The 22,567-nt window shown below is 41.3% G+C and overlaps 2 protein-coding genes and 1 long non-coding RNA gene across 6 annotated transcripts in view, besides 3 other annotated features; 2 read left to right on the forward strand and 1 right to left on the reverse strand.

Moving 5' to 3' along the window:
* Nucleotides 1–1,804: 1,804 nt before the first annotated feature.
* On the reverse strand, nucleotides 1,805–22,391 carry CCT4 (chaperonin containing TCP1 subunit 4). 2 transcript variants are annotated; one of them, NM_006430.4, is made up of 14 exons: nucleotides 22,101–22,376; nucleotides 18,740–18,792; nucleotides 17,179–17,268; nucleotides 14,006–14,114; nucleotides 12,589–12,731; nucleotides 11,113–11,234; nucleotides 10,640–10,772; nucleotides 9,815–9,954; nucleotides 6,917–7,013; nucleotides 6,722–6,832; nucleotides 6,178–6,308; nucleotides 5,802–6,036; nucleotides 3,160–3,273; nucleotides 1,805–2,426 (listed from the first exon to the last, which is right to left on the reverse strand). In NM_006430.4, exons 1-14 carry the CDS (start codon nucleotides 22,225–22,227, stop codon nucleotides 2,412–2,414), a joined length of 1,620 nt encoding a protein of 539 aa, NP_006421.2. In that variant the 5' UTR covers nucleotides 22,228–22,376; the 3' UTR covers nucleotides 1,805–2,411. The 2 variants fall into 2 exon arrangements, with proteins under 2 accessions (NP_006421.2, NP_001243650.1); NM_001256721.1 differs by lacking the exon at nucleotides 17,179–17,268 and having other exon boundaries at nucleotides 1,847–2,426; nucleotides 22,101–22,391.
* LOC124907773 (uncharacterized) lies at nucleotides 12,687–14,296 on the forward strand. Its single transcript, XR_007086334.1, has 2 exons — nucleotides 12,687–12,769; nucleotides 13,984–14,296. It is a non-coding gene; the product is annotated as an uncharacterized LOC124907773 (long non-coding RNA).
* Nucleotides 21,404–21,965: an enhancer, noted in NCBI's record as "H3K27ac hESC enhancer chr2:62114819-62115380 (GRCh37/hg19 assembly coordinates)". NCBI's record gives its function as "activates a minimal SCP1, AML or CMV promoter by ChIP-STARR-seq in primed H9 embryonic stem cells {active_cell/tissue: H9 hESC(primed)}" and the evidence as "EXISTENCE:reporter gene assay evidence [ECO:0000049][PMID:30033119]".
* Nucleotides 21,966–22,525: an enhancer, noted in NCBI's record as "H3K27ac hESC enhancer chr2:62115381-62115940 (GRCh37/hg19 assembly coordinates)". NCBI's record gives its function as "activates a minimal SCP1, AML or CMV promoter by ChIP-STARR-seq in primed H9 embryonic stem cells {active_cell/tissue: H9 hESC(primed)}" and the evidence as "EXISTENCE:reporter gene assay evidence [ECO:0000049][PMID:30033119]".
* Nucleotides 22,067–22,146: an enhancer, noted in NCBI's record as "active region_15842". NCBI's record gives its function as "activates an Ori minimal core promoter by ATAC-STARR-seq in GM12878 lymphoblastoid cells {active_cell/tissue: GM12878}" and the evidence as "EXISTENCE:reporter gene assay evidence [ECO:0000049][PMID:35858748]".
* Nucleotides 22,111–22,567, forward strand: part of COMMD1 (copper metabolism domain containing 1) — a 247,668-nt gene continuing 247,211 nt past the window's right edge. Inside the window, exon 1 of one of the 3 annotated variants that reach the window (NM_001371765.2) lies at nucleotides 22,111–22,304. The gene's annotated coding sequence lies outside the window, so the exon portion shown is untranslated. Of the gene's footprint in view, nucleotides 22,305–22,444; nucleotides 22,563–22,567 lie in introns of those variants that run through there. The other 2 variants (NM_001321781.3, NM_001321782.3) reach the window with 2 other exon arrangements.

Here is a 22,567-nt window from a genome sequence, read left to right on the forward strand (position 1 = left end):
CCTCCCAAAGTGCTGGGATTACAAGCGTGAGCAACCACGTCCGGCTGGAAGAATTCGAAGAATGCTGCTATACACACTATTTGTATTATTTAGGCATAACCTATGAACAAAAAGCTTTGTGCTGTTAGGCTGGGCATGGTGGCTCATGCCTGTAATCCTAGCACTTTGGGAAGCCAAGGTAAGGATAGCTTGAGCCCAGGAATTAAACGCCAGCCTGGGTAACACAGCGAGACCTCGTCTCTGTGAAAAAAAAATACAAAAATTAGCCAGGCATGGTGGTGTGCGCCTGTAGTCCCAGCTACTAGGGAGGCTGAGGTGGAAGGACTGCTTGAGCCTTGGAAAGTTGAGGCTGTAGTGAGCCATAGTTGTGCCAATGCATTCCAGCCTGGGCGACAGAGCAAGACCCTGTGTCAAAACACATAAAACAAAAACACTTGGCTGGGCATGGTGACTCATGCCTGTAATCCCAGCACTTTGGGAAGCCGAGATGTGCGGATCACGAGGTCAGGAGTTCAAGACCAGCCTGGCCAACACGGTAAAACCCCATCTCTACTAAAAATACAAAAACTGGCCGGGTGTGGCAGCGTGCACCTATAATCCCAGCTACTCGGAAGACTGAGGCAGAACTGCTTTAAACCTGGGAGGCGGAGGTTGTGGTAAGCCAAGATGGCACCATTGCACTCCAGCCTGGGTGAGAGCGAGACTCTGTCTCAAAAAAACAAACAAAAAAAACTTTCTGCTATCTGGGTGCAGTGGCACAGGCCTGTAGTGCTAGTTACTTGGGAGGCTGTGGCAAACTTGAGCCCAGGAGTTTGAAGTTATAGTGAGCTATGATCTTCACACATGAATAGCCACCACTCCTGCCGAAGCAACATGGCAAGGCACTGCCACTGAAAAAAAAAACATCTTGTGCTGAGTAACTGACAGATGTTTAAATATGGATTAGGTATTTTGACTTATGATTTTAGGATATACCTGATTCAACTGTTTTATGGCAGCTAGAATTAACATATTTCACGTTCTTATCAAAGTGAGGAATAAATTGAAGTACTAAATTCCAGATAATACAGAAATCTTTATCTAAAAATATTAGACACTTACCAAGTTAGTTAACTATTTCAGTTTCATGATGAACACAAAAGGAGCTTCAGACTGTTTGGCTGAAATCCTTTCTCCACAATGCTAGAGGGGCCTAGTTGCTTTCATGAAACTCCTTGTGAAATACTCAAGGAGATGGTAGCTGAAATACCAGATTGTTTAGGCCAAACTTTTGATCGACCTTAAAAGGTCTAGCCTTTACTCAAAGGTATGAAAGCTTTTACAAAAAGAGTGCTTGACTAAGTGCCTTTAATCCCAGGGCTTTAGAAGACCAAGGCAGGACTGTTTAAGGCCAGGAGTTCAAAACCAGCCTGGGCAACATAGTGGGATCCCATTTCTGAAAAAAAAAAAAAAAAATATATATATATATATATATACACACACATATATATATAGGGATGGTGGCACATACCTGTAGCTGTAGCTATTCTAAAGAATAAAGCAGGATTCTTTATTCTTAGCTCAAGTCCAGGAGTTCAAGGCTGCAGTGACCTATGATCACGCCACTGCACTCCAGCCTGGGTGATGAGCTTTTCTCTAAAAAAAAAAAAATCACTAGACTTCAATATGTGCGAAATAAATAGATTGGAAGGTGGCTAAAGGGAAGAGACTAGTTACAGATTTGACACTCTTCATGGTGAGATGACACTGATGCTTAGATCAGGACAGTGGCAATCAAGATGTTTAAAATCACTGGAACAAGACATTAGTTAAGAAACCCTTTTGTTTAAGTAAGATTTGCTACATATATGTATACACTTTTATTTGCAGAAGGAATCCAACACAGCAGTCATTATTACTGGGAAAAGGAATTAGGATGATAGGATAAAAGGAGGCTTTCATTTTTCATTCTCTTTCTGTACCATTAACTTATTTTTGTTTTAACTGGGCAGCCTCCCAAGCCAAAGTAGGTTCAGAGAGGTGCCACTTGGATCATTAACTTTTAAGACAGCATATATATTATATGTTGGTAGTTTTTAAGGCCAGGGAGCATTTATCAGTGATGAGCATATTGGGCCATTTTTTTCCTCAACATGTAAACTCACTTTTTACGCTTCTTTTATTAGTTTTTATTAGTTTTTCAAAAGTATCAGAAATAACAGAATGTTGGGAGAAGATAAATCTGCCTTTTGAAACCAAATATTTAATATTTTCATTAAATTGTTTCAATACAACTTCAGGCAAATGCCAACTGGAAGACCAAGCCCAGAAATTCAGAGGAAATAATCTTCCAAACAAGGAACACCAAGGTGATCTTCTTCCATTCCAGCCACAATACTGGTGATCATAATGGTGCTAGTCAGTTATCCAGATTATCGAGTGTTTACCTGATAAGAGAAAAACTTAGATTTCAAAACCTGTAATGACAGAATTTTAAAGCTGGAAAATGTTTAAGGCAATTAATAAAAGGAAAACCTGTATTAAGAACTGCTGTCACCTTGATGACTAGCAAATATTTATCAAAAGTAAAAACTTGGCCAGGCACGGTGGCTCATGCCTGTAATCCCAGCACTTTGGGAGGCTGAGGCAGGTGGATCACAAGGTAAGAAGTTCGAGACCAGCCTGACCAACATGGTGAAACCCCGTCTCTACTAAAAATACAAAAATTAGCTGGGTGTGGTGGCACATGCCTGTAATCCCAGCTACTTGGGAGGTGGGAGACTGAGGCAAGAGAATCGCTTGAACCCAGGAGGCGGAGGTTGCAATGAGCCGAGATCATGCCACTGCACTCCAGCCTGGGCAACAGAGCAAGACTTCGTCTCAGAAAAAAAAAAAAAAAAAAAAAAGTAAAAACTTTTAAAAAAACAATGGCCAGGTGTGGTGGCTCACACCTGTAATCCCAGCTACTCAGGAGGATGAGACAGGAGAATCACTTGAACCCCAGAGGCAGAGGTTGCAGTGAGCCGAGACTGTGCTACTGTGCTCCAGCCTGGGCAACAGAGCAAAACTTTGTCTCAAAAAAACCAACCAACCAACCAAACAACAACAACAACAAAAAACCTTTAAAAAATATATGCCTTTTTGACCTCCTAAGAAAATTTGCAACCTGGAAACACTTACCACATCATCTATTTTCAGAATGCTCCGAACAGTTTCAGTTGCAAGAGTCAGAGCACTGACTGATACCAACAGAGGCTGGACAACCAGTTCCTCCAAAATGTTGGAAATACCACCCTGCAAATCAAATCAGCACAAGTTGCTTTTAGTGTCTGTGATAATACACATCAGCAGCCACGTGGTTACCAGTGTACCTCAAGACCTAAATCTAGTTTTCTTTCTGTCTAAGAAGATTAGAATATGATACTCTACTAAGCTTTTCTCTACACTGTGGGATGTTATTTCAATTAAAATTTGGAAAAACTGAATTAATGCTGTAGTCACCCAATCCTAACTACAGGCGCCCACCACCATGCCCGGCTAATTTTTTGTATTTTTAGTAGAGACAGGGTTTCACCGTGTTAGCCAGGATGGTCTCATCTCCTGATCTCATGATCTGCCCGCCTTGGCCTCCCAAAGTGCTGGGATTACAGGCGTGAGCCATGGCGCCTGGCCACTTATTTTTAAATATTGGCAAAATTAGCAAAATGATCACAGTAGTTAAAAATTATGATATCTTGGCTAGGTGCGGTGGCTCACGCCTGTAATCCCAGCACTTTGGGAGGCCAAGGCAGGCAGATCACGAGGTCAGGAGATCGAGACCATCCTGGCTAACACGGTGAAACCCTGTCTCTACTAAAAATACAATAAATTAGCCAGGCGTGGTGGCATGCACCTGTAGTCCCAGCTACTCAGGAGGCTGAGGCAGAAGAATCGCTTGAACCCAGGAGGCGGAGTGCAGTGAGCCAAGATTGTGCCACTGCACTCCAGCCTGGGTAACAGAGTGAGACTCTGTCTCAAAAAAACAAAACAAAACAAAATATTATCTCTTTAATGTTTAAATCATCTCTGAATTTTAATTCTTAATTAGATCAACCCCAGTCTACTCTACAGTCTCATATTTGCCACCTTAAATTCTTCATTGCACCATCCTACTTCCCTTTATCCCGGGATTACTCCTGATGGCCTCTTACAGGCATCCTTGCTTCCAGTCTTCCCTTCTTAAAATATTCCTGTCCTTAGCCTCTTGCTTAAAAAAATCTCATCCTACTTCCCTTTATCCCGGGATTACTCCTGATGGCCTCTAACAGGCATCCTTACTTCCAGTCTTCCCTTCTTAAAATGTTCATGTCCTTAGCCTCTTGCTTAAAAAAATCTTTAGGCCCCGCACCGTGGCTCACGCCTATAATCCTAGCACTTTGGAAGGCTGAGGCAGGTGAATTGCCTGAGCTCAGGAGTGCAAAACCAGCCTCAGCAACACAGTGAAACACCATATCTACTAAAAAATACAAAAAAATTAGCCCGGCCTGGTGGTGGGCGCCTGTAGTCCCAGCTACTCAGGAGGCTGAGGCAGAATTGCTTGAACTTGGGAGGAGGAGGTTGCAGTGAGCTGACAGTGCTACTGCACTGCAGCCTGGGCAACAGAGCAAGATTCCGTCTCCAAAGAAAAAACAAACAAACAAACAAACAAAAAACACTTCAGTGGATCCCAACTACGGGAAGGAAAAAAAAAATGGCTGGCTCAATAATCAGGGGCCTCCTCATTCTATTAATAGTTTTTTTTTTTTTTTTTTGAGACGGAGTCTCGCCCTGTCGCCCAGGCTGGAGTGCAATGGTGTGATGTTGGCTCACTGCAACCTCTGCCTCCCCAGTTCAAGCGATTCTCCTCCCTCAGCCTCCCGTGTAGCTGGGATTACAGATATCCGCCACTTCGCCTGGCTAATTTTTTTTTTTGCATTTTTAGTAGAGACGGAATTTTGCCATGTTGGCCAGGCTAGTCTCAAACTCTTGCCCTCAGGTGATCTGCCCACCTCGGCCTCCCAAACAGCTGGGATTACAGGCGTGAGCCACCACGTCAGGCCTATTAATAATAGCTTTTATCTGATCTTTCCAACCTTAAAGCCCACTATACCACTAATATATAATCCCAGCTCTACACAGGTGAAGAACTGCTTGGTCCTTCTCACCTGTAAAACCACTGCTTACCCATCTGGAATTTCCTCATCCCCTACCAACCAAAAGTGCATCTTCATAAAGCCTTCCCTAAACAGATAGTTCCATCATTTGGCGTTCTGTACCATACAGACAATATAAAGTTGGACTGTCAGTTCTTTCCCATCATGTGTTTAATTTGTCTCCTCAACAAAACATTAATAAAAAGTGATATTATTACCATATGATTACCTTACACAACTACATTAGCTCATGCTAACTAGGGCAATGATTTTTTATACAGTCTTTAGTATATGCCAAGCATCTATCTAAGAGCTTGTTAACTAGAAATGCATTTAATTCTCACAACAGGCCTATGAGGGAACTATTAATCATCCCTGTTTTTACACCTGAGGAAACTGAGGAACAGACTAAGTAACTTGCTAAAAGCTAGTCAGTAAGTGGCAGATTTAATGAACAAATAATACTTCCCCCTAAGGTGTCACCATCTTCCTTCTCACTCAATGGCATAGATTAATTAACATGCAGCAGGCCTCATATTTAAATCCAAGATTATGCTTTTCATTACAGAGCTTTCCATTCAACAGATGACTACAAAGCTTTTAATATTTTAAATTAATCAATATTTTCTACATTAGAGATTAAATGATTACCTTTCGGACATTAATGCCTGCAGTTTTTTCTCCCTGGGCATGCCGGTTTCTTAGTTCTGTTACTGTAGAAATGGGATTCAGGCCGGCATTTTCAGCTAGTGTAGATGGAATGACCTCCATAGCATCTGCAAAAGCACGAACGCAGTAGGATTCCATACCACTCAGTGTTCGTGAATATTCAGTTAATCGTAGGGCCAACTCTATTTCTGGAGCACCACCTCCTGCAATAAGAGCCCTGAAATTCACAAATATATTTTTAGCTTATTTTATCCAAAAGAAAATTATTTTTAATAATTTGCTATTTATATCTTTAAAAAATAGAATATAATAGTTTTAATGTTCAAAATGTTACTTAATAATGTAACACTGACATTACCTCTTCTTCACTAAACAACGAATAACACATAGGGCATCATGAATGGAGCGCTCAGCTTCTTCAATCACCAGTTTGTTAGAACCACGAACAACAATTGTAACTGTTTTTCCAGGGCTGGCACAGCCTGTAATCTTCAGTAAACAAATTCCAAATTAAGTATTTGAAGGGTCAAAAAAACCCCACACCCAGGCCGGGCACGGCGGCTCACGCCTGTAAACCCAACACTTTGGGAGGATGAGGCGGGTGGCTAACGAGGTGAGGAGATCGAGACCATCCTGACTAACACAGTGAAACCCCGTCTCTACTAAAAATACAAAAAATTAGCAGGGCGTGGTGGCAGGCGCCTGTAGTCCCAGCTTCCCGGGAGGCTGAGGCAGGAGAATGGCATGAACCCGGGAGGCGGAGCTTGTAGTGAGCCAAGATCATGCCACTGCACTCCAACCTGGGCGACAGAGTGAGACTCCGTCTCAAAAAAAGAAAAAAAACAACCTAAAACCCCATACCCAAACCTAAGCAAATAAAAATTTAAGTGTAATACTGTTACCTTGAGCAGTTTGCCAGAACCATTTAAATTGACCTCCTCAGCTAACTCAGCAGAACCCAGCATGTCAGCAGTAAATTGGTCAATATGAGCAACTGGCTTGGTTCCAATTGTCTGGAAAAAACAGTCAAATCCACAAATTAAGACATTTATCTAATTATCAGACATTTTCCACAAATACAGATGTTAATGTTTTACCTTACAAATGAATTCAATGTCTTCTCTTTCAATATCCTTAATCACCATGATCTTCATTTTATTCAGAAAGTGTAATGCAAGATCACTAAGAGCATCTCTAAAATACAAAATCAGTGATTATGTCAATGCTAGATTAAAAAAATTTTGCTCTTCAAATGCCTTTAAGGTTTTAATTACTGTTTCTTAAATGGCCAATCATTATTTCTGAAGAAAAATGCTTTAGTTTACTAAGTTCGTAAGGTCAAAATTAAGATTTCCAATTCTATTGGAAATTTTAGTACAATTCCAGTATTAAAATGTACTCTGTCCCCAATGACACTATAAAACACACGAAATAACTAGGTCATTATTTTTTCCCCATTTATTTATTTATTTTTATTTTTTTGAGATGGAATTTCGCTCTTGTTGCCCAGGCTTGGAGTGCAATGGCACGATCTTGGCTCACTGCAACCTCAACCTCCTGGGTTCAAGCGATTCTCCTGCCTCAGCCTCCCAAGTGGCTGAGACTACACGCTCCCGCCACCACACCTGGCTAATTTTTGTATTTTTAGTAGAGACGGGGTTTCACCATGTTGGCCACGCTGGTCTCGAACTCCTGACTTCAGGTGATCCACCCGCCTTGGCTTCCTAAAGTGCTGGGATTACAGGCATGAGCCACTGCACCCGGCTCATTTATTTATTTTTAATAGAGACAGGGTCTCCCTATGTTGCCCAGGCCGGTCTTGAACTCAGGGCTCAAGTGATCCTCCCACCTCGGCCCCACAAAGTGCTGGGATTACAGGCATGAGCCACTGTGCCTGACCTCATTTTTCTTAACAAATGAGCACATCTTGGGAAGTGAAACCTTATTAATACTTCATGAATTTAGAAGTATTAATTCAGACTCCACAAATTTACACTTCCCCATGAACTGTGAATAACAACTCTGTGATACTAGAAAGGTAGATATTACTACTATCCCTATTATACGGATAAGCAAACTGAGTTTGGGGGGCAATTTACTCAAGGTCAGTAGCTATTATATGATTGGGATTAGAACCAAGTCTTCTGAGTCTTCAAAGACTATATAAAATGAACATCCACAGTACATTCTGGCACATTAATGGAGTAAATGGGAATGCGTCTATTAGGAAAAAATACTGGCCAGGCACGGTGGCTCACATCTGTAATCCCAGCACTTTGGGAGGCCAAGGGGGGGCAGACCACGAGGTCAGGAGTGCAAGACCAGCCTGACCAACATGATAAAACCTCATTTCTACAAAAATTAGCCAGGCGTGGTGGCACGTGACTGTAATCCCAACTATTTCAGGAGGCTGAGGAAGGAAAACTGCTTGAACCTGGGAGGCAGAGGTTGCAGTGAGCTGAGACTGCGCCATTGTACTCTAGCGTGGGTGACAGAGTGAGACTGTGTCTCCAAAAAAAAAAAAAGAAGGAAAAAAGTGATCTGTCAAACTTCAGAGAATTCTTTTCATCTATGGACTATGCAGAGCATTCCCCCAAAAAGTACCTCTAAATGACAAGGCAAGCAATTGCATAGACCTTTAAATAAATTCCACTTTTAACTAGGTAATTAATTCTGCAACATGGCTTTTAAAAGAACAAGGCTTGATGTTTAGGACCTTGGTCTAGGTAAGATTATATATCCTACATTTAAAAGGGAAGATAGGGCCGGGCGTGGTGGCTCATGCCTGTAACCCCAGCACTTTGGGAGGCCAAGGCTGGCGGATCACCTGAGGTTGGGAGTTCAGGACCAGCCTGACTAACAGAGAAACCCCGTCTCTACTAAAAACACAAAATTAGCTGGGTGTGGTGGCACATGCCTGTAATCCCAACTACTCGGGAGGCTGAGGCAGGAGACTTGCGTGAACCCAGGAGGCGGGGGTTGTGGTGAACCGAGATCGCACCATTGATTCCAGCCTGGGCAACAAGAGCGAAACTCCATTTCAAAAAAAAAAGGAAGATTACGCACTTTTTATCAAAACATAATAATGCTTTTCCAGCTTGTAACTGCAAGGAAAAATAATGATACTGCTAAAAAAAAAAATGCAGATTTCTGGTGGTTTACCCAACTCAAATGTTTCTATAAAAATTGCTCTTAGAGGCTGGGTGCGGTGGCTCATGCCTGTAATCCCAGCACTTTGGGAGGCTGAGGCGGGTGGATCATGAGGTCAGGAGATCGAGACCATCCTGGCTAACATGGTAAAACCCCATCTCTACTCAAAAAATACAAAAAATTAGCCAGGTGTGGTGGCACGTGCCTGCAGTCCCAGCTACTCGGGAGGCTGAGGCAGTAGAATCACTTGTTGAACCCAGGAGGCGGAGGTTGCAGTGAGCCGAGATTGCACCACTGCACTCCAGCCTGGATGACAGAGTGAGACTCTGTCTCAAAAAAAAAAAAAAAAAAATTAAAAAAAATTGCTATTAGAAGTGTGGTTTAGACTCTAAAAACTGCATGCTTTCTTGGCCCTGTTCCTTAAGGGCTCCACCCTGAAGCCAATAATCGAAGAAATAAGTTTTTTAAAAGGCCAAAACACAACATTCTGGCAGTTAGTTGGCTATTTTAAAAAACCTACTTTTTTTTGTAAAAGAAAATTACACCTTTATTGTTTTGAATTTACAAGTCATATATTTGTTTAAAATGCTTTTCCTAGACATCTTAACTGAACTTATACCATTTTTTCCCTTGGTCTGAGCAAATGATGGTACAATATTGAGGCCTAACATTTTACCTGTGCTTTTAAAATAAAAATTCTCCATTTCGTTTCACCTAAGAGTTGTCTGTTAAGAAATACGAACTTAGAGTAAGTGCTTAAATCATATATTTTATCAGAAAAAATAAACTGCTAGTGGAGATCCAAAATTATCATTAAGGGATGAACAAAATAAATAGCCCCACACCTTAGAATAGATTTCTGTATGAGAAGGACATTACATCCTGTTTTTTTAATTTGCTTCACTAAATTTAAAATATAGGCTCTCTCTTCTCGCAGCACTCGGTCCATCTGGGCATAGTCAGAAACCACTATTTGATTATCCATCTGTTCAGAAAAAGAACATCATAATTTGCATTGTAAGATATTTTAAGTTTAAAAGTAGAATTTTAAGCGAAAATACTATGTGTTGTATAAATTCAACCAAAACTATATCAAGTAATAAATTATATAGACATGCATAGAAAAGAGTCTGGATTAAGATACACATCCCAAACTTGAGTCTTTTATTTTCAACTAAGTACACTGGTATCTTACATTTTGCAAGTAAATTTTTTATAACCAAAAAATATAAAATGGTTACCCTAGTTGTTTTCAAAAGATAGGGTCCCTCTCTAATCTGTGTGAATTTGTAAATTAACAGCAACAGTGAAAAGATGGGGTCCCACTATGTTGCCCAGGCTGGAGTGGAGTGCAGGGACTATTCACAGGTCATGGAATAGCACCCTGCAACCTCAAACTCCTAGGTTCAAGCAATTTTTCTGCTTCAATTTCCCAAGGAGCTGGGACTACAGGCATCGTTGCAAATGGCTAGCTCTCAATTTCAATATCCCAACTGAGGATACAGACTTGTCACTTGTGGCACCAACAATTACTATTTTTGTCTCAATTCTAGTAAGTCTTTTGAGATCTGCTTTAAATCACTAGTAGTATTTTCTATTTTTAATAAAGAAATGCCTGAGTTATTAAAAAGTTAAACACAGAGAACCAATTTCATTTGGATTCTACTTACGTCTGTTTTGGGAGCAGATAAGCAAAACTGAATAAGCCCAATCTTGGCCTTTTCAACTCTGGTTATGCCAGAATTTGACACTTTTTGGGTGAGAACCAGCCCTTCCACCAACTCACAGTCATCAATTGTCCCACTAAGGATAAAAGAAAACAAAGAGGGGTAGTTAAGAGGGAGTGGACATCTGTACGTTTAATAGATGAACAGATTAAAAGTCATCAGTCCAATAAAATATGATTCAGCCTCACATTTATTATTGCCCCACTCCTGGATCTCTTTGATCCACTGCTGCCTTACTATCATAAGGTAACATAAACAAAATCTCCAGATGCCCATACTAATACAAATTCTCACGAAAACAAAACCAAAAAGAGAAAAGAGAGCTTTGTGACTTTCATCTAGGTGTTTTTATTTATTTTTGGCAATCTGATGCTCATTTTCAAATTTTTATTCAAGTTGTAATTAGAGATGCTTACCCAAGCTTCTTAACTATTTTAATATCTCTAAGATCTACACTGGTGGCTGTGGCTGGGTCAATCACTTTCATCACTGCATTTACACTCATTGGAGAAAGCAGACTTGAATACTGAGAAACCACCTAGAATTATTAAAAAAAAAAAAAAGTTACCTTCACAGTAGAAAAAAGTCCTAATTTTTCAATGACAAAGATACTTAAGAAAGACTCTTATAATTTTTGCAGTGGGGTGTGGGTATGAAGAGGGAAACACTCATGAGAAGACAGTCCATAAAGTGTCTTTTCCATTCAGGTTGTCACCAGGGGCACAAAATAAAAACATGTATGCTTGCTTTTTTCTTTTATTAATATAATAGCCGGGACTGTAGAATATCAAAGTTTTACAGGAAATCCAAAAAGCATAAATTTAATTTTACGTGAGTATTTTCTATCTAAAATGAATGTGTGATGAGGCATCAATGTTATGTATGTACATTCCTGATGAGGGGTTGATAAAAATTGCTAACATTTATCAATCACTTAACATATGCCAGGCAGTGGTCTTAGAACTTTACATATTAACTCATTCAATCTTCAGATGGAGAAACTGAAGCCAAGAGGTTAAGTCATTTGGCCAAACAGCGTAGTTAAGTGGTGAAGTCAGTACTGAACAAACACAAGCAGTCTAGACTCAATGCCTAGTGCTTGTAACCATTACGCTATACTATCTGTATTAGTTCTAAGGACATCCAACAGTATCACTTAGTGTCCCTAACACTACCTAACATTCAAACAAAATGAATGTATGGACTTAATACTGATTTTTAAAAGGAAAAAGGATTAGGGGAAGGAAGGGATAAACACAGGATATTACAGAAAACAAGTGACATGAGTTCCAAAGAAATTTAAAAGCACAACACCGCTTTAAGTTTGGTAAATAAGAAAAGCAGCATAAGTATTAGTTAAGGGATGGACCACGATGGGCAGCCTGTCCTGGGTTCAAATCTCAGCTGTTTCTGTTAGCGGTCCTTGGATAAGTTACTCCTCTAGATCTACTCTTTTCATCTATAAAATGGGGATATGACTATCTGAGGGCCTTGAAGAGGACAATAAATGTAAAAAACTTATCACAATGCCCACCATATTAAATATTCAATAAAAATTAGCTATACTGCCAGTAATCTATGGCAGTCTTTCTGATTTGGTGGAGGAAAAGGTTTCTTATAGGCAAATTAAAATATCTAGCTTTATCAAAACACTGTTACAATGCATTAAACAGAAAAGTGGAAATGGATATAGTATATATTAAATATCCTAACTCCTTTGTTAGCCTTATGGCTCATTTCCTCTCTTAATCTTAAACCAATTCAATTATACAGATTATAACAGTTACCTAGCCACTCTTGAGATTTAGTATTTATGTACCGTATAGCATCAAGAATCATAGAGTAACACACTTTTAACTAATTTGACAAGTATCCGTTAGTGTTTGTCTCACCTTTGAGTTCAGTGAAGTGGTTGCACTATTTAACAAAGTTTCTCTGTCACTCAGTTCCACAGGTCGAGACATGTCAGTCAAGATTTCAATGCCCTTTTCCAGGGCCTTCTGGAATGACTCAGAAATGATGGTTGGATGAATCCCTGTAATTTGTGAAAGTCTAGTTATTTAATTGTAACAGGTAAACTACACATTTGACATGGCTTAAAAATTTTCTACTCAATGTCAAAGCAAGCACAAATTTAACTATTCTTAATTACAAACTTATGCTTCAGTTGTAATATAGTGGCTTGAATAACCTGCTAACTATGGCTAATAATTTACTTCCATCCAACTTAAAACAGATTACACACTTATTAATGGTCTTGACTAAAACCAAATTTTATACTTTTTTTTTTTTTTTTTTTTTCTGAGACAGGGTCTTACTCTGTCACCCAGGCTAGAGTGCAGCGCCCTGATCTCAGCTCACTACAGCCTCAACCTCCCAGGCTCAAGTGATCCTCCCACCTCAGCCTCCTGAGTAGCTGGGACTACAGACACACGCCACCACACCCGGCTAATTTTTTTTGTATTTTTTTTTTTTTTTTTTGGTGGAGACAGGGTTTTGCCATGTTGCCCAGTCTGGTCTCAACTCCTTGGGCTCAATTGTTCTGCCAGCCTCAGCCTCCCAAAGTGCTGGGATTACAAGTATGAGTCACCGCACCTGGCCGATACTTCTCAAAATATCACAAATCTACATTATAAGTAAAATAAGTGATTGGATAGTCACTACTATAATTAAATACCATTTACTAAAGCAAAGACAATCCTGACTTTCTCTCCCAAATCTTCTTTCTTGTATAAGAGTCCAAGATTAGTAATATTTCTACCACTCATTTCTTTTTTTTTTTTTGAGATGGAGTTTGCTCTTGTTGCCCAGGCTGGACTGCAATGGCATGATCTTGGCTCACTGCAACCTCTACCTCCCGGGTTCAAGTGATTCTCCTGCCTTAGCTGGGATTACAGGCACGCGCCACCATGCCCGGCTAATTTTTTGTATTTAGTAAAGACTGTGTTTCACTGTTGGTCAGGCTGGTCTTGAACTCCTGACCTCAGGGGATCCACCCACCTTGGCCTCTCAAAGTGCTGGAATTACAGGCATGAGCCACCACGCCCGGCCTCTACCACTCATTTTTGAACAGCAAAATTCAATTGAGTTCCATTCAAAAAGGAGCCCAGCAAATATCAGAAGCCAAGGAAAATTTCTTCTAATCTCTATTATAAATATAGCAAAATCTAACTTTAAAAATTCTTGGTAAAAAGATTAGTTATTCCAAATTAAATCTTCAATCCCATATTACTTATGAATAACTTGGCTTTTCCTAAAGTTTGTTTTTTAAACTTTTCTTTATTCAGTAATAAAGTACATCCTACCCACCTTTCTGAAGAAGCTTGGTACAAGAATCTAAGAGGGAGCCAGCAATGATGACTACTGATGTGGTGCCATCTCCTGCTTCTATATCTTGAGCCTTAGACAGCTCCACCAGCTAAGTGAACAGAAAATGCCAAGTTGCTCAATGAGAAATGACAGAACCCAGTAACACCTAATTCAAATAATCGCACCAGTGTCACAAACAGAATTTGAAGATGCAACATGATTCCTGATTTCTTCTGATTTGTTGTCTACCTTGGGTTTCATTTAAAATTAAAGACTAGTAGATGATCTCCAGTTCAGATTGTGGGTTGTCATCTCCCCCTGCCCTGCTACTCAAAAGTTCTAATTAGAAAGCAAAAATATATCGTAAGTACTCTATAGAATTGGAAGCTAAGAAAAGGGGCATTCCAGATGAGACTAGAGTATCAAACTTTTTTTTTTGAGACAGGGTCTTACTCTGTCACCCAGACTGGAGTATAGCAGTGCAATCATGGCTCACTGCAGCCTCCACCTCCTGGGCTCAAGAGATCCTCCTGTCTCAGTCTCCCGAGTAGCTGGGGCTATAGGTGCACACTAACACATCTGGCTACTTTTTTTAAAAAGTCTTTTTTGTTCGTTTGTTTTTAGAGACGGGGCCCCATTATGTTCCCTAGAATGGTCTTGAACTCCTGGGCTCAAAGGATCCTCCTGCTTCAGCCTCCCACAGTGCTGAGATTACAGGCATGAACCACCATTCCCAGCCTCAGAGTATCAACTTAAGAGTCTTTTGCCAAGTTTATTTGAGTAGACCCCTTGTAAGTATAACCTGATTCATTAAAAAGCCATCTTTTCATAACTGGTGGATGGCACAACATATGAAGCCTCAGGACTATCCAAGAAAACAGCAAAACTTCACGTAGCAGTGAAGTTTTGTTTTATTTAGCAATGCTTTCTTATTTTATGTTCCAAATAAGATGCTTATTTTCCTATAATAATCATTTTTTTCAACATTTTAATAGCAATATTATATATAGAGACTTTTGTCACTTCTGGATAACAAAATTTTTTTGTTATCCTGTCGAACTCCTGACCTCAGGTGATCCACCCGCCTCAGCCTCCCAAAGTGCTGGGATTACAGGCACGAGCCACTGCGACCAGACTGATAGAAATTTCTTTCTAATGAATTTGTTTTTGCTCATATGACTTGACACCAGGTTTATGTTTTTAATCTCCTTATTCCTCAATAGTACCACATACTATTTGTAAAATAGTATGTGGTAATTATACAAAATTTGGAAAATACAGAAAGAAATTAAAATGTGTCAACTAAATATTTTTGAAGCAAAGACCATTAATATTTGTATACAGTATGTTGGTTTATTTCCAATCATTTTCTATTTTTTAAGTAAGCTCACAGTATATACGTAATTTTATCTTTTTTCATGTAATGTTTCATTAGTGTTTTTCCTCATAAAAATCTTCATAAACAATTTTTAATGGCTGTATGATTAACATGCTGTGGTATACTGTTTAAACATTTTCTTATCATTGGATATTTTGCCTATTCCAGGTTGTTTCCATTATAAATAAATTTGATCAGTATCTTTGTAAAAAAAAAAAATTTTTTAAAAGCCATCTTTACACAACTCAGAGGGATTTTTTTGATAGAAGTTCCTTTTTTTTTTTTTTGAGACGGAGTCTTACTCTGTCACCCCAAGCTGGAGTGAAGTGGGGCAATCTCGGCTCACTGCAACCTCTGCCTCCCCGGTTCAAGCAATTCTCCTGTCTCTGCCTCCGAGTAGCTGAAATTAAAGGCATGCACCACCACGCCCAGCTGATTTTTGTATTTTTAGTAGAGATGGGGTTTCACGATGTTGGCCAGGCTGGTGTCGAACTCCTGACCTCAGGTGATCCACCCGCCTCAGCCTCCCAAAGTGCTGGGATTACAGGCACGAGCCACTGCGACCAGACTGATAGAAATTTCTTTCTAATGAATTTGTTTTTGCTCATATGACTTGACACCAGGTTTATGTTTTTAATCTCCTTATTCCTCGAGTGTATGCCAAGTTTCCATGGACTAGTATAAGGTAAAAGAAGTAAAATAATTACTGTTTCCAGTAGATTATATTTTTAGACAATGAATTTTCTTCTGTGGACACATGAACTGCTATGCACCATACCCTAATAAGAACACAATAATCATATGAAAGGAAAAATAATCATTTCTGTGGACAAGTATAAGGTGACTTGTGTTTCTTTCTTTTTTTTTTTTGAGACAGGGTCTCGCTTTGTCACCCAGGCTGGAGTGCAGTGGCGCAATCACAGCTCACTACCTCCCCTGGACTCAAACAATTCTCCCACCTCAGCCTCCTGAGTAGCTGAGACCACAGGTGCGCACCACACACCCAACTATTATTTTTTGTATTTTCAGTAGAGACAAGGTCTCGCCATGTTGGCCAAGCTGGTCTCAAACTCCTGAGCTCAAGCAATCCTCCCACCTTGGCCTCCCAAAGTGCCGGGATTACAGGTGTGAGCCACTGTGCCCAGCTTTTTTTTTTTTTTCTGGGGTTTCACTCTGTCACTCAGAATGGAGTGTTGTGGTGTGATTATAGCTCTCTGCAGCCACAAACTCTTGGGCTCAAATAATCCTCCCATGTCAGCCTATGGAGTGGCTGGGACTAAAGGCATGCACCACTATGCCTGGCTTGATTTGTGTTTTATTATCACCTCACACCAAAAAGCACAATGTTAGGCACACAATGTATCCTAAAAATATGCCTGTTCAGCACGAAAAGTGTTCATCGTGCTTAAATATCATGTGATCAAATAAATTTAACTGTTTACCAAGTATCAAACACACTTAAAAAAGAAGACTCATCTGGCCGGGCGCAGTAGCTCATGTCTGTAATCCCAGCACTTTGGGAGGCCAACGTAGGTGGATCACAAGGTCAGGAGTTTGAGAACAGCCTGACCAACATGGTGAAACCCGTCTCTACTGAAAATACAAAAATCAACCAGGCATGGTGGCACGAGCCTGTAATCCCAGCTACTCAGGAGGCTGAGGCAGGAGAAATGAATCTGGGAGGCAGAGGTTGCAGTGAGCTGAGATTGTGCCACGGCACTCTAGCCTGGATGACAGAGCAAGACTCTGTCTCAAAAAAAAAAAAAAAAAAAGACTCACCTAAAATTACACTTACCATTCTGGCTGCTGGATGTAATACTTGCATTTGTTTCAGAATGGTAGCACCATCATTTGTAATGGTTACATCACCTTTTCCATCTTGAATCTAGAAAAAAAATTTTAAAGTTATATTTCAATGTCACACCTTAATAGTTTTATTAAACTTTTACATTTCAAAATAGAGAAGTTAATTTCTGTTTGCAAAGTACTTAATTTTAAATTCTCTTCCCTTACATTAGCATAATAGTTTAAGAATACGCAATAACAGTCCAACTTTACAAAAGAAAAAAGTGGCTTTGTTGCAGGGTAATCTAAAAGTGAAGAAATGTAGACACACACACACACACACACACACACACACACACACACACACAAAAGGAAAAATATTATAAAGAAGCACTTGCTATCTTTAATGATTTCTTATTAATCAGAAACACGATTTCCACCATGGATGCCCCTAAAGCAGTACCATGCCATGCGGTGAACACAATTCTTACAGTCAACACAGTAACTTTTTTCCTTTTTTGTCCTACAAAAAGGACAATGGCATTTTTGGGAAAGATAGATTTTTGAATATCCAGAGCGGAGAATAATCTATAGTATCATCCAGATGATCCTCCATATTGTTTTATCTCACAGAGACCCACATTAAGATACAAAGTTACATCCATAAGGAACACTAAACTGAAGTCCCAACACCTGGATTTATAATAGTTTCCACTTAACTACATAATAGATATCTATATTTGGGTGTGCATTCTCATTGTTTAAGAAGCATTAAACAAAATATGAATTATAGTTTAGTCCTGTTGACTCCAAAGTAACCTCTCCTTCCTCTGAATTCCAGGTACCCAACACTTTTTACTTTTTTTTTGGTTTGAGATGGAGTCTCGCTCCATTGCCCAGGCTGGAGTGCAGCTGCGCGATCTCGGCTCACTGCAACCTCTGCCTCCTGGGTTCAAGTGATTCTCCTGCCTCAGTCTCCCACCTCCTGAGTAACTGGGATTACAGGTGCCCGCCACCATGCCTGGCTAATTTTTGTATTTTTAGTAGAGACGGGGTTTCACCATATTGGCCAGGCTGGTCTTGAACTCTTGACCTTGTGATCCACCCGTCTCGGCCTCCCAAAGTGCTGGAATTACAGGTGCGAGCCACTGTGCCCCACCCACTTTCTACTATTTTTATTTTATTTATTTTTTTTTTGAGATAGAGTTTTGCTTTTATTGCCCAGGCTAGAGTGCAATGGCACAATCTCAGCTCACCGCAACCTCTGCCTCCCAGGTTCAAGCAATTCTCCTGCCACAGCCTCTCCAGGAGCTAGGATTACAGGCATGAGCCACCATGCCTGGCTAATTTTGTATTTTTAGTAGACATAGGGTTTCTCCATGTTGGTCAGGATGGTCTCCAACTCCTGACCTCAGGTGATCCTCCCCTCACCCTCCCAAAGTGCTGGGATTATAGGTGTGAGCCACCACGCCCAGCCCCACTTTTTAAACAGCACATCTAACCCTTCAACAAGATCTTGTAGTGTGAACAGCAGTGCTCAATTAGTAGTATTCAATGACTCAACTCTTTACCATTTTATCCATTCCTTTTGGTCCAAGGCTTGTTCTAATAGCATCAGCAACCGCTGCAGATGGGGGGGAAAAAAAAGAAAACAAATTAGAACTTTTTTTTTTTTAAGAGACAGGGTCTTACTATATTGTCCAGGATGGCCTCAAACTCCTGGGCTCAAGCAACCCTCCCACCTCAGCCTCCCAGAATAGCTGGGAGTATGGGAAATCAAGACTTCTTAAAGAATAGAGTTTTTTTCCCCTCAAATGATCATTGTGTTCTTATTAGGATATAGTGCATAACAAATCACCATGTCCACAGAAGAAAATTCATTGTCTAAAAATAATCTATTGGCAACAATTATTTTTCTTTTAAATGTATGATGCTTCACTTCTGTTAGTCAACGTACACAGTATTATTATTATTATTTTTTGAGACATGGTCTCACTCTGTCACAAGGCTAGAGTGCAGTGAGGCAATCTCGGCTCACTGCAACCTCCGCCTCCTGAGTTCAAGTGATTCTTCCGCCTCAGCCTCTGGAGTAGCTGGGACTACAGGCACGTGCCACCACACCCAGCTAATTTTTTTGTATTTTTTAGTAGAGATGGGGTTTCACCATGTCGGCCAGGATGGTCTCAATCTCTTGGCCTCAAGATCCGCCTGCCTCGGCCTCCCAAAATGCTGGGATTACAGGTGTGAGCCACCACGCCTGGCCTAGTATTTGTAATCAGCTTATGGCAGAATACATTTTGAGGATTCATCTCATCTTCCTTCAGATGTCAAAATGGTACAATCTAGTTAGGAGCTCTGAGAATTGCTATTTCCTCCATTCCTAAAACAGGACAAGCAGCAACAGAACTGTCTAGATCTAAAATACTGATGGAGGAGTATCCTTTTTCCAAAATGATTAGGACCAGAAGTGTTTTGAATTTTGGAGTATTTCAAATTAGGAATGCTCAATTTACAGATAATTCACTTATTTGTTTACTCTGTCTAGTATGTAATCTCTGAGAGCAAAGACTTTTGTTCACTAATGTGAACATGGTAGATAGGTGGCCCGCCAACACCGCCAAAAGGGCAAACCACAATGGAAATGCTACAGAGCAAGATACTCTTCTAAAAAATCCAACAAGGCTGGGCGTGATGGCTCACACTTGTAATACCAGCACTTTGAGAGGCTGAGGCGGGCAGACCACCTAAGGTCAGGAGTTCGAGACCAGCCTGGACAACATGGCGAAACCCTGCCTCTACTAATACAAAAATGAGCCGGGTGTGGCGGTGCGCATCTGTAGTCCCAGCTAGCTACTCGGGAGGCTGAGGCAGGAGAACCGCTTGAACCCAGGAGGCAGAAGTTGCAATGAGCAGAGATCACACCACTGCACTCCAGCCTGGGGGACAGAGCAAGACAGACTCCATCTCAACAAACAAACCAAACCTAACAAACCAAACAAAAACCAAAACTCTCAAATCATAGCTTTTGGTCATCATCAGTATGTTATAAAACATCTCTGGGGCCGGGTGCGGTGGCTCACGCCTGTAATCCCAGCGCTTTGCGAAGCCAAGGCAGGCCGTCACTTGAGGCCAGGAGTTTAAGACATAACGGGTCATCTTCACAGATAACTTAGGTGGCCTTTCCTTCCCACATGCACACCCTCCTCTGTTGTTTCAGTTCTTTGTCTGCTTTTGTTTCAAAGGTTGCTAAATTTCCCACTTATTTTGTTTGTTGAATATCAACCATATTATAAACTCTCTTGGCCCCCAAATTTATCTTTTTTTTTTTTTGAGACGGAGTTTCGCTCGTCACCCTGGCTGGAGTGCAATGGCGCGACGTCAGTTCACGGCAACCTCCGCCTCCCAGGTTCAAGCTATTCCCCTGCCTCAGCCTCCCGAGTAGCTGGGACTACAGGCCTACGCCAACACACCCACCTAATTTTGTATTTTTAGTAGAGACGGGGTTTCTCCATGTTGGTCAGGCTGGTCTTGAACTCCTGACCTCATGTGATCCGCCAGCCTCAGCCTCCCAAATTGCTGGGATTACAGACGTGAGCCACCCTGCCCGACCCAAAATTTATCTTTCAACATTCTGTTCCTAATCTAATAAATGTAAGCTTCAACTATGGTCCCTAGACAATTATCCTACAAACCTTCGTTTCCAGGTGTATTATCTCCTAAACTTACAAATGACTCCTAAATCTGGCCATTCTGACCTTTCCAACTCATTAGGACAAGTTAGAAACTATTACTTTTTCTTACATCCAGCGTTACCTATCTTAGCGCCATCACATTCCCAGTTACTTGGGCTGATGACTGCAAACACATGTAAGGTGTACTTTATATACGTGGGTCTTTATATGCTTTCTCACTGAATCCTCACAGCAAGCCTACACGATGGCTAAAAAGAAATGATCCCATAGCTGGGGGAGATTAAGCCAAATACTTTCCAGGACACCAGGCCTTTAACATCTGCCCCAACCTAGCTTTCTAATCTCACCTCTTCTGTAAACATACTACTATTCTCCAACCCAAAAGAACTACTATACTCAATATACACTCGGGCAAGATCTCTAAACCTCTGTCCTGACTTTTCCTTCCAGATTTTTCTATTTCAACTCGATTTCTCTTAATCTTAACTCTAAAAAGCAAACATTTTCCTCCAATTTTATAAGTGAATCTTTGGCACAGAGGTTACAGGTCACTAAGACATGAAGTAACGGAAGCAGAGAATGAAACTCTGGTCTTCCTGATTTCCAACGTGTGCCACACACTTCCACAAAAAAAACAAATAATTGTTTCTTGATTTGCCTATGTTTCACTGCACATGCGGAGACGACATCAACGTAACTTTTCCGCAACTATTTCAAACACGACACGTAAGTCGGTTCCCACATCCATCCCAGTACAATGGGCCCCGCCCCAATTTAGACTCGGAGAGTTCACCCAATTCGTCTCAACAGTTGTGCCAAGTGAAGTTTATTTAATAGTTCTTTAAATAAGAATAACAAAGCTGAAAGATACTGTGCATTCTACCAGTTCCAATAAGCAATAAGCGACAGCCCTCAAGCGTCAGATCCCTAGTGAAGACTGCATGCAATCCTCGGCATTTTGAACTGCTTTCGGCTCCAATATGAATGATGCACAGTGCAGGATGAAAAACTAAGGGAGATTAAGATGCAAAATGGGGCAAGTCCAAAGGCCTCCATACTCCGGGTTGGCGATCATCGGCAGAAAAACAGAAATAAGGATCCCTCCACTGGGCTGCTTCTATAGGGAGGACAAGAGAGGATCACCCGAAGAAATGGGAAATGAGCCAAACCCGCTCAAGCCCACGATGAGAGCGCAGAGCACAACCCCGCGGCGCCGCGGGTCAGGCCATGAGAGTGATACCTTTGGCGGCGGAAATGTTGCTGAAGCGGATCTGGGCTGGCTTGTCGCGGTCCTGATAGGCGCCTTTCCCGCGGCCGCCGGCAGCCCCGGCAGTCGCCCCGCTCCGGGGTGCCACATTCTCGGGCATGGCAAACTCCGCTGTGTCTGGGTTGGCTCGGGAAGGACGGATGGACCCGGATTCTGGCCGGCCGCAGTGTAATAACGGTAAGCCCTCACTGCCTTCACGAACCTTCCAGAAAGCGGCGCCGGCGTCGGGAGGAGGCGGAGGCGGAGAAGGGGGCCTTCCTTGCCGCGCGGCGCTGGCGTGACGTAGGAGGCTGTCCGCTGCGCGCCGGGCGAGGAGGATGCGTGCGGTGGGCTCCGGGCTGGCGAGATTGTACGCCCGGGGCGCTGTGGGTGAAGAGCGCCGGGGGAACCTTTACGCGAGGCAGCAATGACAACGCGCGATTTTAAAGGCGAGTGGTGAG

The sequence above is a fragment of the Homo sapiens genome, chromosome 2 (genome assembly GCF_000001405.40).
Source record: "Homo sapiens chromosome 2, GRCh38.p14 Primary Assembly".
Classification (NCBI taxonomy): Eukaryota; Metazoa; Chordata; class Mammalia; order Primates; family Hominidae; genus Homo; species Homo sapiens.